General features: G+C 41.4%; 1 protein-coding gene across 55 annotated transcripts in view; it reads left to right on the top strand.

Moving 5' to 3' along the window:
• Window positions 1-13754, top strand: part of RHOBTB1 (Rho related BTB domain containing 1) — a 141108-nt gene that overhangs the window by 115667 nt on the left and 11687 nt on the right. For 49 of the 55 annotated variants that reach the window (XR_007062022.1, XR_007062020.1, XR_007062021.1 and 46 more), the window contains 3 exons: window positions 71-189; window positions 8243-8393; window positions 11259-11347. Coding sequence is in view for 52 of the 55 variants with exons in the window: in XM_047426080.1 (XP_047282036.1) it covers window positions 71-189; window positions 8243-8393; window positions 11259-11347 (359 nt within the window). In the remaining 3 variants the exon portion in view is untranslated. Of the gene's footprint in view, window positions 1-70; window positions 190-472; window positions 3413-8242; window positions 8394-9117; window positions 9471-11258; window positions 11348-13754 lie in introns of those variants that run through there. The other 6 variants (XM_011540428.2, XM_047426103.1, XM_047426104.1 and 3 more) reach the window with 2 other exon arrangements.

Raw genomic sequence — 13754 nt, 5'->3', positions numbered from 1 at the left:
GGAGCAGAAGCCTTGGTTGAAGCTCTCAGCAAAGTTGGCTCATGGTTGTGTTTCCTCAATCCCTTGGCAGACGTGACATTTAAATTGGACGATGGAGCCATCAGTGCCCACAAGCCGCTGCTGATCTGTAGCTGTGAGTGGATGGCAGCCATGTTCGGGGGGTCATTTGTGGAAAGTGCCAACAGTGAGGTACGTGCCTTCCTAAAAGCATAGTGGTGTCTTTATGAATGTATGTGTGCCTGTGTATTTATATAAAGTGGGTAAACAGCCAGATGACTTTAATCCTTAAACTGGCTCCATGAGTGGTCATCATACTGTTAGTCATAATCATAAGGAGCTATTGCTCCTTAGTAGTGCTTGAGGGTTTGGTCACCTTTTTCTTAGATCTGCAGTTTTGAGGAGCTATTGTTTATTGGTCACTGGTGTGGGGGCACCTGGGTGCTTTACATGCCATATATCTTTTCATCCTCAGAGCCGTCCTCATCCATGAAGACAAGATCAGCTGTACCTCTTGGCAAATGTCACCAGGCATGGTACTATCAAAACCAAGTACAAGAGGAGCATGTCTCCCAGTAGTTCAGAAAGGGAAAAGAGTTCTTCAGCCACCTAAGTCCTGGGCTTAGCTATGCCCCTAACCAGACAGGGGACCTTGAGAAGCCGCATTCCTGTGCCTCAACCTCCTCATCTGCAAGCTGAGGGATGCACTAGATTGTCCTTCAGGTTACCATGTGCTACAATACTGTCTAAGGCTCTGCCCTGACTCTGCCTGTGTTGAGGGGATATGAGGGTTTGTTAACTTTAGGGCAACAGTAATGGAGCAAATGTTTACTCCCCTGAACACACCTCTCAAGGTACTTAGGTCTAGCGGAAGCAGCTACATCACTTGTCAGCCCCTGGCTCTATCTCTAGAAGAGACATATGCTTAGAGAAGAGCAAACAGCATCTTGGATACCCTGTGTCTTTGTCTTTCTTGTTGTTTTACTTTTAACTGACAAATAATAATTATTATACATAGTTATGGGGTACATGATGTTTCAATATACATATACTGTGGAATGATCAAATCGGGTTAATTAGCCTATCCATCACCTCAGATGTTTACCATTTCTTTGTGATGAGAACATTTAAAATCGTCTTTTAGCTATTTTGAAATATACGATACATTATTGTCCACCATAGTCACCATACTGTGCAATAGAACACCACAAAAAAGTTACAGGTGCATTAGACTATATGCAACTGTGGTCCTAGGTACTTGGGAGACTGAAGTGAGAGGAACACTTGAGCCCAGGAGTTCAAAGCTACAGTGAGCTATGATTGTGCCACTGTACTCCACCCCAGGAGACAGAGTGAGAACCTGTCTCTAAAAAAAAAAGGACAAAAAAAATGTACACTAGAATTTATTCCTCCCATCTAAGTGAAACTTTGTATATTTGACAGATGGCTTTCCTTTCCCCATTCACCCCCTAATCCCAGCCTCTGGTAATCACTCTTCTACTCTCTACTTTGGAGTTCAACGTTTTTAGATTCCACATATAAGTGCAATACTGTGATATTTGTCTCTCTGTACCTGGCTTATTTCACTTAACATAATATCCTTTAGGTTCATGCATGTTGTCTTGAATGACAGAATTTTCCTCTTTTTTAGGGCTATATAGTATCCCATTGTGTATAAGTACCACATTTTCTTATTCATCCATCTGTTGATGGACAGTTAGGCAGACTCCATATCTTGGCTATTGTGAATAGTGCTACAGTTAACATGGGAGTACAGCCTCTTTGTCTTTTTACAAACTGTTGGAAAAGAAAAAAATTCAATTCAAGCACTTCTAACTTTAGGAGTGAGCAAGCATTTTTGTGGAGTTTTGCAAGTATTTTTAACATCTTTTTTAAAAAAGTAGAAATGAAAACATGGGTACACCCACCCAGTTTATTGTCCTAAGAGGCTTGTTTTACTTGTCTCAGCATCTTTCCAAACTTTTCAAAGAAATGCAAAAAACAATAGCTAACTTTTCACATGAGGCACTAGCACAAGAAATTCGAGCACTCCCATTGTGACCCAGGAGCCTGCATTTGCATCCCCAAGTAGGGAAATAGAATCCTAGAATCACAAGCCTTGGATAGCAGGGGCTGAGAAGATCACTAGGCCACTCTCATGCACCCATAACAAACTGCAGCTGCTCCTAAACCAACCCCCCAGCAAAAGGCTATCTGCTTTTCAGGGAAAAAATATTAGAGTTATCCTGATGGCCTCTTATGGTGTCTAACAGCCTTTCTAAACCAGGAGACTCTCACCTGTGACTAATGAAAATCTCTCCTGAGCTTGGGTCAAAGGTGTTTTGGAGCATCATTACTGAGACAACTGCAGCACATGGAATCTGCACAGTTACAGGACTGTGGGACTCAAATCTCAACTCCTCCACTTACAAGTGACTTGGGCAAGTGACTTAACCTTTCTTGGCTCTAGTATCCTGATCTGGAAAACACAGTTATAACCCATACTGTGGTTGTGGGGTGTAAGAGTCATTACTTGCAAAGCAGTTCAGAAGCATTCAATAAATAGTAGCTGCCGCTGGACTTATTCTGATGTTGTTGGTAGTGATGGTATTCTTTACCTCTTGTATCCAGAAAAAAGCTAGGGTAGCCACCAATTTGTAAAACCTCATCCAGTTGGTATTTGACTGACTTCAGCAATCTCTGGAGATAAAGAGCTGGGAGGATTGCTCCCCTTCTTTGTCCAGCTCACTGAAGTGCATGCTGATTGTGCAGCAGAGGACCTGCTATTCACAGAGTAGGGAGAAGTTGATCGAGGTCAGGAACGCAGGCACAAAGGGACACTGTCAGAGCTGACCTCACGAATGCTAATCTCCTTTATCCCTTCCAAGAATGGACTGTAATCGTCTCCAGATTAAAATGTGCAGTAGAGGTGACCAAAACAAAAACTTGGCAGCGAATGTGAATGCACATGTATATGGTTGTTTGATGGCCTCTCCTGGAGGAGGCCACCTGTTTAGCACACCCTGCTGGAGAGATGAGGTCCCTCACCACTTAGAACTGGAGTTGAGGCTAATAGGTTTGTATACATTCAGACCAGCTCAAAAGACAAAGACCACGGAACCAAGCCACTGAAGACCTGTGCCACAATTCCTTTAGCCAGTATATTGAAAATGCAATGAGCTGTCGACATTCTCGCCCCTTCCCGTCCCTTCACTTTATTTCCTGTGTAAACTATAATATACTCTCAGCTTGACGTTGGGGAAGTGGCTCACTCTAAACCTGTTTCCTCATCTGTAAAATGGGGATAACAAGAAAACCTTTGTCAAAGGGCAGAGAAGGCATGAGAGGACATGTGTAAAGCATTGAATTTGATGCCTAGAACATACAAATGTTCAATAAATGTTAGCGACTATTATGCTAGAGTTTTCTTGTTAAATTCTTTCCATACGGGGTTAAGGGTATTTGTCCCCGGAAAGCTCTAAGTTAAAAAGCCCCCAGTTCCCTTTCTGAACTAGGAAAGTACAATACAGGTGGTTATAGTTGTAGGGGAAAGGCACTCAGTTAATGCTCCATGATTAACATAGGTCCATGTTCACACTTGGGATTTGGCTGTTGTAGGCCACCTTTTAACTTTCTATTATCTTGAGAAAATCTGAAAATCTGATGCCAGCCACCCTCCCACCCCCCACACCATGAAAATCAGCCTTTTTTGGAGAATTAATAGAATTAATGTGCATATCCAGAAAAGAGTGAAATATGCCTATGTCCAATGATTTTAATTTAACTTTTTTGTCATTTAATATTCAGGAAAACATTGTATCTTACTTATATTTTTTCTCATTACTTTTAATGTAGCAGTAAGCATAATTCTCTCCCCAGAGGTACTCAGCAAGTGGTTCATTAAAAATGCATGCCTGGGTTGTAGTAAGCAATGCTTTGGATCTAGGATACTTTCTCATTCTCTATGAGACTGCCTCTAATTATAAGCCTAATAGTCTCAGCTAATCTTCACAATTAAAATTTTACACCAACTAAACTGCAAGATAGAACATTGTTTAGGGTAGCATTATATTCTCTTTGATCACTCTTTTTTTTTTTTTAAGAAAAAAGAAACTATATCCAGCAGGTAGGATAGAAATTTTTTGATTCCATTATTTATGAAGCTTTGCTTATATTATTTTTAAAGTGCTATAAATAAAGGTCTTTCTGTTGTCATGCAGTTAATTATAAATGTTGAAATCACAGAAACGGGCTTTTTTAAAAAATCAGCCATGAGGGGAAAAAATGCATGTTCCAAAAGTGTTCTTAGTTTATTCTAATTTAATGTTTTTTTCTAAAGGTCCCTAATGTTGTTTGCCAAAAAGAGCCATCACTTCAAAAAATGTTAACGTTATATTCAGCAAAAAGAAGATAGCAGGTCATAGGTGATTACAAACATCAGAACACTTTGAGGGCATTGAGGGTGTTTGGGCAGGGCTGCTCACTGGAATCTGTCATCTGCTGCAGCCGGAAATAGTTTCTTTTTATTTAGGATGTTCATTTTGCTATTTCTTCTTTAAGCAATGACTTAGAACACACTCTTGCCAAAAAACGCTAAGGTAATCTGAAGATTTTCAAAACCCAGAGTTTCCGTGAAGAAGAAAAAGCTTTTAATAGCATCTATTCCAAATTCCTCCCATGTAACGGATGAAGAGACTGAGGGTGAGAGAGGGTGAGAGATGTATCAAAGGTCACACAGCATTTTAGTGATATATCCCTGGGCCTGCCCCAGGCTCTTGCGCTATCACGAGAGGCATTGTTTTCAGAAACACCAGACATCCCCATCTCTGAGAGAGCAGGTATTAACAGGAAGCTCTGGGACTTGGTATATTAACAATTACTAACATCTTAGAGCACTTAGCGCTTTGTAAAATGTGGATACTTTCACTATTAAAATGGTTCAAATTTTAAAGTTTCACAACTTAACCTTCAATTATTTAAAAAACTATACTAATTGTATTAGTCCATTTTCATGCTGCTAATGAAGACATACCAGAGATAGGGTAATTTATAAAGAAAAAGGTTTAATGGACTCACAGTTCCACATGGCTTGGGAGGCCTCACAATCATGGTGGAAGACAAAAGGCACATCTTACATGGCAGCAGGCAAGAGAGAGAGAACCAAGTGAAAAGGGGAAACCCCTTATAAAATCATCAGATCTCATGAGACTTATTCACTATCACTAGAATAGTCTGGGGGGAACCACCCCCATGAATATCTCCCATCAGGTCTCTCCCACAACACGTGGGAATTATGGGAGCTATAATTCAAGATGGGATTTGAGTGGGGCACAGCCAAACCATATCACTAATCCAAACATTATTTCATCAAAGAAATGAAATGTTACATGTTCCTACACACAGAAACAAATTTGTATGGATACCTGTAAATAAATCCATTATTTGTGTAAGATAAATGCATATGTATGTAAACATATATGTATGCGAGCATACACGCAGTGTAACTGGTGCTAGATTTAGTTGAATAATTAATTATTCATATGTACATACAGCTGGTTGAAGGGAAGAATAATGTTCCAACATCTGTGTATTGCAGATGATCTAGCATGCACAACAGCTACTTTATTTCAAAATAATCCCAGTAATAGTTTCAACTCATTGAGTTCTATTTGTTGTCGAGGTTGTGCTGGAAACCTAAAATGATCATGCTTGTCAAATCGTTTATGGTAATGACTTATGTAACTTATTTATGGAATCATAATTGTCGTTTTCACCAACCATGTCTGAAAGTGGGGGATAAATTTCTTATTATTTCTAGGAATTTTTCTAAACCTTCCCTATGATACGTTAAGGGATGGGTCTACCTATCTGAAAGGATATTCCCTCTCTGAGGTGTCTGGTGGCTGCATAGGAGAATAACAAAGAAAGTTTCTATAGCTTAAAGAGCTCTGGAGCCACACTGCCAGAGTGCATAAGCCATAAGCACCTTGTAGAATGTGGGGCCATTATACATACATACACTCTCTCTCTCTCTCTCTCTGTCTCTCACTCTCTCTCACTCTGTCTCTCTCTCTCTCTCTCTCTCTCTCTCTCTCTCTCTCACACACACACACACACACACACACAGTCATCCCTCAGTATCTGTGAGGGACTGGTTCCAGGACCACCCCCCCAACTCAGACAGCCAAATCCATGAGTGCTCAAATTCCTCATATAAAATGGCATCGTATTTGCATAGATCTGTGCACATCCTCCTGTATACTTTAACTTATCTGTAGAGTGTTTCTGGTACCTAATACAATGCAAATGCTGTGTAAGTAGTTGTTTACTGTTTAGGGAATAATGACAAGAAAAAAGTCTGTACATGTTCAGAACGGAAGCAGTCATGCCTTTATTTTTCAAATATTTTTGATCTACAGTTGGTTGAATCCACAGATGTGGAACCCACAGATAGAGATGGCTGGCTCCATGCATGTGTGTGCCTGAGTGTGTGTGTGTGTTTGTGTGCAAGTGCATGTGTATGGAGAGAGAGGTGCAATCATACAAAATATATAGATGTAACCATGTTATAAAGATGTAATCATACATAATATATAGATATATATCTTTATATGTTGTATAGATGTTTATTAAGTACCAGAATTAAGAAGTTCATAACCGGCCAGTCACAGTGGCTCATGCCTGTAATCCCAGCACTTTGGGAAGCCAAGGCAGGAGGATCACTTGAGGCCAGGAGTTTGAGACCAGCCTAGGCAGCATAGCAAGCCCGCCATTTCTACAAAAAAAAAAAATTAATAAAATAAATTAGCCGGGCGTGGTGGCACTGCCTGTAGTCCCAGCTACTAGGGAGGTGGAGGTGGGAGGATTGCTTGAGCCCAGGCCTAAGCTATCATCAAGCCACTGCAGTCCAGCCTGGGCAACAGAGTTAGACCCTGTCTCAAAAAAACTAAAATAAAAAAGAAAGAAAAAGAAGCTCATAATTGTTCATCCTTTTGAAGTAGAATTCTTACAAACCATTAATAAAATATGATGCTTTATTGTTCTGTAACTCAAACCTTTGTTTCCTTGGCATTAAACATTTCCAGCACCGCAGAGAAATTCTGAACATACACTTTCGCATCATACTCCCTGGGTTTAAATCCCAGTCACTACTTCCTAGCTCTGTGACCTTGGACACAAGATTTAAATTAACCTCCTTGAACCTCCATTTCCTTTTCTGTAAAATGGCAAAAGTAAGTCCCTTCTCTCTAGGGCAGATATAAGCATCAAATTAAAGAATATGTGTGGAAATCTTAGTGCAGTGCCTGGTGCATAGGATGCCTTCAATTACGATTAATGTTTATAATTGTCAATGTTCCAAAAATCCAAGTGGTACCATTCTGAACTACTCCAGGGCCTGTCTCATGGAGTTACAGACCTAAAATAAAGAGTAGCTGCTACGCAGTGTACATCTCCATTAATCCATGCCCACCTCTACAGCTCTCCACCTCCCAGGCAGTGCCTGGCTCTCTGGCGAACTCCAGCATGCATTTATATGGACAACTACAGGCACTCAGGAAGGAGACTGTGGGAATCCTACAAGGGACAGTTCACCTGTACCCAGTCATACTCCCCTGGAAGTCCCAAGCAAGGAGTCCTTTGGATTCTCCGAATCTACTGATAACTGATAACGTTCCAGTAGTTCTGAATCCATGTGGTTGTAGTAAAAAATAATGAAGTGTATACGTTGTGTAGTACATTGTAATATATTGTGCATATACTGACAGAATTTCGAAATCAAGCTGGTCACTGTGGCAGCTAGGGTGGTTGCTCATCCTCTCTTTTGACATCTTGGAGAACTAGGCTCCATCATGTCAGCAACAGTGTGGTTTGCAGCTCCGCCCAACACCTGTCATGTTGCTAGGAGATTTCTTTCCCCACAGTAGAGTATTATAAGGTGCTTGGCATGAGGGCCCCTAATGTCATCATACATTTCCAGTCCATTTGTCTGATTTAGAAGTCCAAATAGTCATTTAAAAATTCCACATCAGGCTGTGTCAGGCAGCTCCACTCTTTTGTCAACTACAAATCAAACCATTATGTTTAAAGTCATAAATACTGAAGGATTCCTATGCACAGCCTCAAAGCAGGTGTCCAACACTCACCAATATCAAGTCACACAGGATATTTATAAGCAGCATAGCCTGAAAATGTGCCCACTCCCTGCTTTCTGCAGCAGAATTTAGCTTTTTGTATAACATTTCAGGTGTATCTCCCGAACATAAACAAGATATCAATGCAAGCAGTATTGGATTATCTCTATACCAAGCAGTTGTCTCCTAACTTGGATCTGGACCCGCTGGAATTAATTGCCTTGGCAAACAGATTTTGCCTGCCACACTTGGTTGCACTTGCAGGTAAGGATGATGACTCAGGGCCATGCAGTGTCTGTCATATTTGTCAAAATCACATTTAAATAAAAATATTCTTACAGAGAATAAAAATTGATTTTTTATCACCCAAAATAGGACTGTCTTGTGTAGAATGATATGAATTAATCAAATTGCATCAGACAGCCCAATTCAATTCAACATATATTTCTTAAGCACCCACTCTGTGGTGGGCCCTGTTAGGTGATACAGCTATGAAGGTGAGTAATGCATGACCCCTGCCCTTGAGGCACACGCTGTATGCATGCTGAATCATTTGTGCACCCCAGAGTTTGAAATAAAACTATTTTGTCAACATTATCTCCATAATAAGTGCACAGACACAGTCTTTAAGAAGGCAGTAGATGCACTGTTTAGGAAAACAGATGACAGAGCCAGATTGCCTAAGATCAAACCCTGACTCCACCATTTACTGACCAGGTGACTTTGTCCTGTAACCTTAGCTCTGTGTCTCAGCTTTCTCGCTCTTTAAAATGGGGCTAATATTATTCAGCCATAGAGCTGTTATGGAGATTAAGTGAGTTAAAATATAAAGTCCTTAGAACAGCGTCTGGCACATAGTAAGCATTATGTAAGTGGTTTTCTTAAAGCTATTTTAGAAAATGTTCTGACATTGTCAAGTTCATTTTGGGAGAAAGAGAAAAAAGGGAAACTTGGCTTAACTTCACAAAATCTTATGTATCATTTCTAGATTTGTTCAGTTGGGAAGCTGAAGCAGGTCTGCATAGGATATATGAACTTAAATGCCTTTCTCTGGAATTCAGATCTTCAGCCTCATTCACTTTACACCAGAGGAGTTAAGTTGCAAGCTGGGTGTTTATCACAATGTTTAGTTGATTCCTGTTAACCACCAAAGTAGAGATAAACAGTGCCTGTCTTGTTCACTGGCCTTTCTTCTGAGTGCCTGAGCATATTAGCTTTCGATAAATATTTGTTGAACAATTGAATGAATGAAGATGAATGTATGAACAAACCAACCAGTCCTATCTGCACTTGACTTTCTGGCAATGTCTTTAGAAAAAATAAAAGATTAATTTCTCTGTCCTCCAGATTTCTACTACACACAACCACCTGGAGATCAAAGTCCTCTCTTTGTCCTACTTCCTCCCCAGTTAGATAGAAAGAGCGAGTTGAGGCATCAATATTAGATTTATTTTTAAAAACTGTTTTTAACCAATATACTTAATAGATCCAAATGAGTGCACTAGTTTTTTAAAATACTCACTCTGGGAGGCTTCCATGGGCAATTACTTTTTTCAGAAACATGAGTTCCAAGCCATCTAACTATCCACAGGTTTTATAAATTATTCCTGAGGATACATTTTTATTTATTTTTGAAACTGTCAAATGTAATTTGGAGCCAAATCTGCCCAACAAGGTTTGTGATCAATCTCAGACTAGTACCAGTTTTGCTTAAATATTAAGTCTGGCAATGAAAACATGGGATTGATTTCTCCATGAAAGTTTTTTTTTAACTGACCCAAGTAAAGCTTTTTGTGTGAACTCTAGACTTCTATGAACACTTAGTTTAGTTATTAAATGCTATTATTACTGTTATGATTATTTAATATACAGCTTCCCAAGATGATTCCTTTAATCCTTTATAGTATTTGCTTTGTACTGTCTAGTGTAGAGTGTTTAGAACATGGTGTTTAAAAATCAGTTTCTACAGTGACAATGCTTTGTGAGCCAGTGTTAAATAAATGTCAGGAAATGTTGCAGTTACTTAAAACGGCAAAGCCCAGATGACTTCTCTGGGAAATTTAGTTCCAAATAGTTCAATCTAGTTGAGGAGGTTTGTGCCAAAGAAATCATTCCATTCCCGATACTGTATTGACCAGATATAGGCATACTGACCAATAAGCATGCAGAGCTGGAGCAGAAAGTAAGCATGATTTGGACAATGTGCTGGATTAGAAGAACAAATGCAATGCTACAGATGACATCAATGTCAAAGACCTAGAAATGCTGAGCCAAGGCTGTACCCTCACACGTCAGTCTCAGAGGCAGGTGACAGCCCTTACAAAGGCAAGAGATGGCCTAGCTTCAGACCAGAACGTAAATTCAGCTTGGAAGCCTTGGACTCAAGCTCCCAAGCAAAAATGGCTCTTCCTACTGCATTTTTGTTACTTCTAACTGCAGGTCTCCCCAGTCTTTAGAATCCAAGAGGCTGAACAATATGTTATCCATCTGTAGCTGTTGAGACAGACGTACGCAATCACATTTTTAATTCCTCAAATAGACTCATTCCTCTGTCACTCAACCTCTTCACCATCAGGGATATTAAGGATTGCAGTGATGTGAGTGGGGAAACTGTCAAACAGGAACGTGTCTAAAGTCTAGAGGACTCTAGGAAGGTGCTAGACTGTTTAGAGCCACTCCATCCAGTAGAACTTTCTGCAGTGATGGAAACATTTCATATCTGGATGGTCCAAACAGCGGCCACATGTGGCTGTTGAGCACTTACTGTGGCTAGCGTGAATGAGGAGCTGAACTTTTAATTTCATTTAATTTTAAGTAATTTAAGTTTAAATAGTCTCGTGTGGCCAGGAGTTATCATCCTGCACAGAACATTGCAGGACTGGAGGATTCTGGCTATTTCAGAGCCATGAACTAGAGTCCCCAGAGGTGTGGGTGAAGTGGCTGGCAGCAGAACCCCAAGTAGTGAAAGACCACACATCAGAGCAGCTTCTGGATTTAATTCAGATGCCTGCCCAGAGCTGTGTCCCACATTTCCTCCCTTCTTAAGTCGTCCCAGACCAACCCTCCAGGCAAGCTACCTGGCTCGCAGGGCGTGGTTTAATGTTCTCCTGCCCCCTCTCTCTTCCCCAGAACAGCATGCCGTTCAGGAGTTGACCAAAGCCGCCACGAGTGGCGTGGGCATTGACGGAGAAGTGCTCTCTTACTTGGAATTGGCTCAGGTTTGTAACAGTTTGCTTTTTACCTTTTAAGTGTGTTCAATCAGTTCATTTAATGCTGATAAAACATTCCATTGTTGCATCTGTCTAAATGAAGATGTCACCACTGAGTCACAGAGTCCCCCTGTGTACACTAAGAAGATCTGAGAGTTTTACCTTTTATGTACCATTCAGCCTGCTGGGCTTCATTTGAATAAACAAAACGGTCCCCACCCCCATGCCAGTCCCATTGTCCCCTAAGGCACCAGCTTCATATGTAGGAAAATCACTTGGGGGAGGTTTTGTCTCTCCTCCTTCTTTGAATTCTTGGACATGTATTTGGCCAAGAAGAGACAGTTTCTAGAATTCCATGAAGCCCCGTAGTGCCTCCCCTGTTAATGAACATCTCATTGCAGCTGTTCTGGAGTTTTCTAAAGTCAGAAGTTGCTAATATTGAGATTGTAATAACATAATCCCAATACAGACTTGCCCTCTTCTTCCAGAGAAGGTCCAAGATTCAGCTTTAGCTTCACCATGGAGTAACTTCCCCAAAGCACAAGCTAAACTCTGCCTCACTTTCCTCATCCACAGGAAATGGGATGACAGTTTGCATCCTACCAACCTTACAGATTATTCTGAGAATGAAGTGGGAGAGAATGTTCAAGAGCGAGCACTGAAGAGTGTAAGCCCTCTTACAATGCCAGGCACATCTGCAGAATTATCTAGTCCCTGGCACAGGCTGATTAACAATGAATTTACACTCTGAGGAAACTAAGAATAAATTCCTCAGTCTTTTCTTCGGCCTGTTGGGTTTGGCTTCCTGTGCTCCCTCTTTCTGTTAAGACAATGACTTACTAAGTCTTAGGTCAGTCCATTTAAATCAATATTTCTCAATCAAAGGAAAGGAGGTGGTTTCAGGGAGAGGAGGTGGCATCCAGCAGGTGCTGCTCAGGCCCTTCCTACTGTGGCCAGAGGAGATTGCTCTGGTGCAAAAGGGGGAAAAGGCGGAATTGAACTTTACAGCGACCTATTCATTATGACTTAGCATTCAACAAGTATTTGTTATTTTTCTCCCCAAATACCAGGCACCGCCCTAGGCAAAGGCCGTGTACATATAAATGGTAGATCCTCTGCCCCAGGGCAATCATAGGCAAGTAAGGGAAACAGACACAAACACAAATTATTAAAATCCAATTAGGGATTACAGTGAAACTGAGAATAGACATCTAATGCAGTCGAATCAGCAAGCCCCCATCAAAACTGGTTGTTCACACTTGGAATTTGGGGTCTTTTGAAACAGTTCCAGGGGATGGTTTATAACCTGTACTCTCTCCAGCAAGTATTCCTCCTAGAGAAAAATGTAATGATCCAGAATTTCATATTGGGACCATTCACTTGAGGGAATGATTTGCAGTTGTGTCTGTTTGTTGCACTGTGTTCCCACCTTACCCCCATACACACCCACTACAAGGAAATAATATGATTATTGCTAAGCCCTGACAAGCCTTGGCAGGAAGAGCTTAGGATGGATTCTCCCATGCTCATTCATTAGACCCTAACCTAGTGATGTGCTGGTAAGTGTTTAACAGTCAGCTTGAGGGCAAGTGGGACCCCAATCTGTTGCGTTTGCCAATTTCTATGATATAAATACTCCCATCATGGCTGATGATAACATATGAAGTCACTAAACTCAAAGTAGGGAAGAAATGCACACAATTGGTTCTCTCAAGCTGGAACAAACCCACCTGGCAGAACACTGCCCCAGCCTTGTTTTCAGAGAGAAATCTAACAGCAAGAGAAGTTGGAAGCACCAGCTAAAACTGTCTCTGATGTTTGGGTTGTGATTTTCAGTGAGTCTCTTGAGTGGGTTTCTGAGGTCTCTGGCTTTTCTATTGGCCTCACAGTGGAGATATGGGGCCACAGAGGAAGCATGCTGTAGGTTCTAGGGATCCACCTGACCAAAGAAACATCAAGAGCGACAGACAACAGAAGGGAAGTCAGAGAAGGGCACAGACAGAAAGTGAGGGATCGCAGCAGGCCCACCAGGTCTGGGGAGGGAATGGGGGAGTAGATAGTTGATTTTTGAGGATCTAGTCTTTTTTAATCATAGCCACCTCAGCTGCCACCTTCCTGAGCATTGCTTAGAATGGAAGGGTGGAGTATCTGGATCTCTCCACCCTGCCCATACCGCCTGCTCTTCTTATGTAACCAAAGGAGAGGTATAGGACAGTCACACATTCTGCAGTCTCCTCTTTCGGATCTTGGCCCCAGCAAGCTGAGCTCTGACATGCGACACGAAGTATTCCATTGCGGAGGCTTCCTTAAACAGAGATGACATCGCTGCTTTCTGCTGTGGGCTGGTGCCTTCCAGAGGCCACGGTTGTTTAGCACTAGAGGGCCAGGTGGCAGGGGAGGGCGGGAGGGCGAGGCA

The sequence above is a fragment of the Homo sapiens genome, chromosome 10, assembly GCF_000001405.40.
Source record: "Homo sapiens chromosome 10, GRCh38.p14 Primary Assembly".
Lineage (NCBI taxonomy): Eukaryota > Metazoa > Chordata > Mammalia > Primates > Hominidae > Homo > Homo sapiens.
Note: the sequence above shows the minus strand (reverse complement) of the source record. Positions and strands in the feature narration are given on the sequence as shown.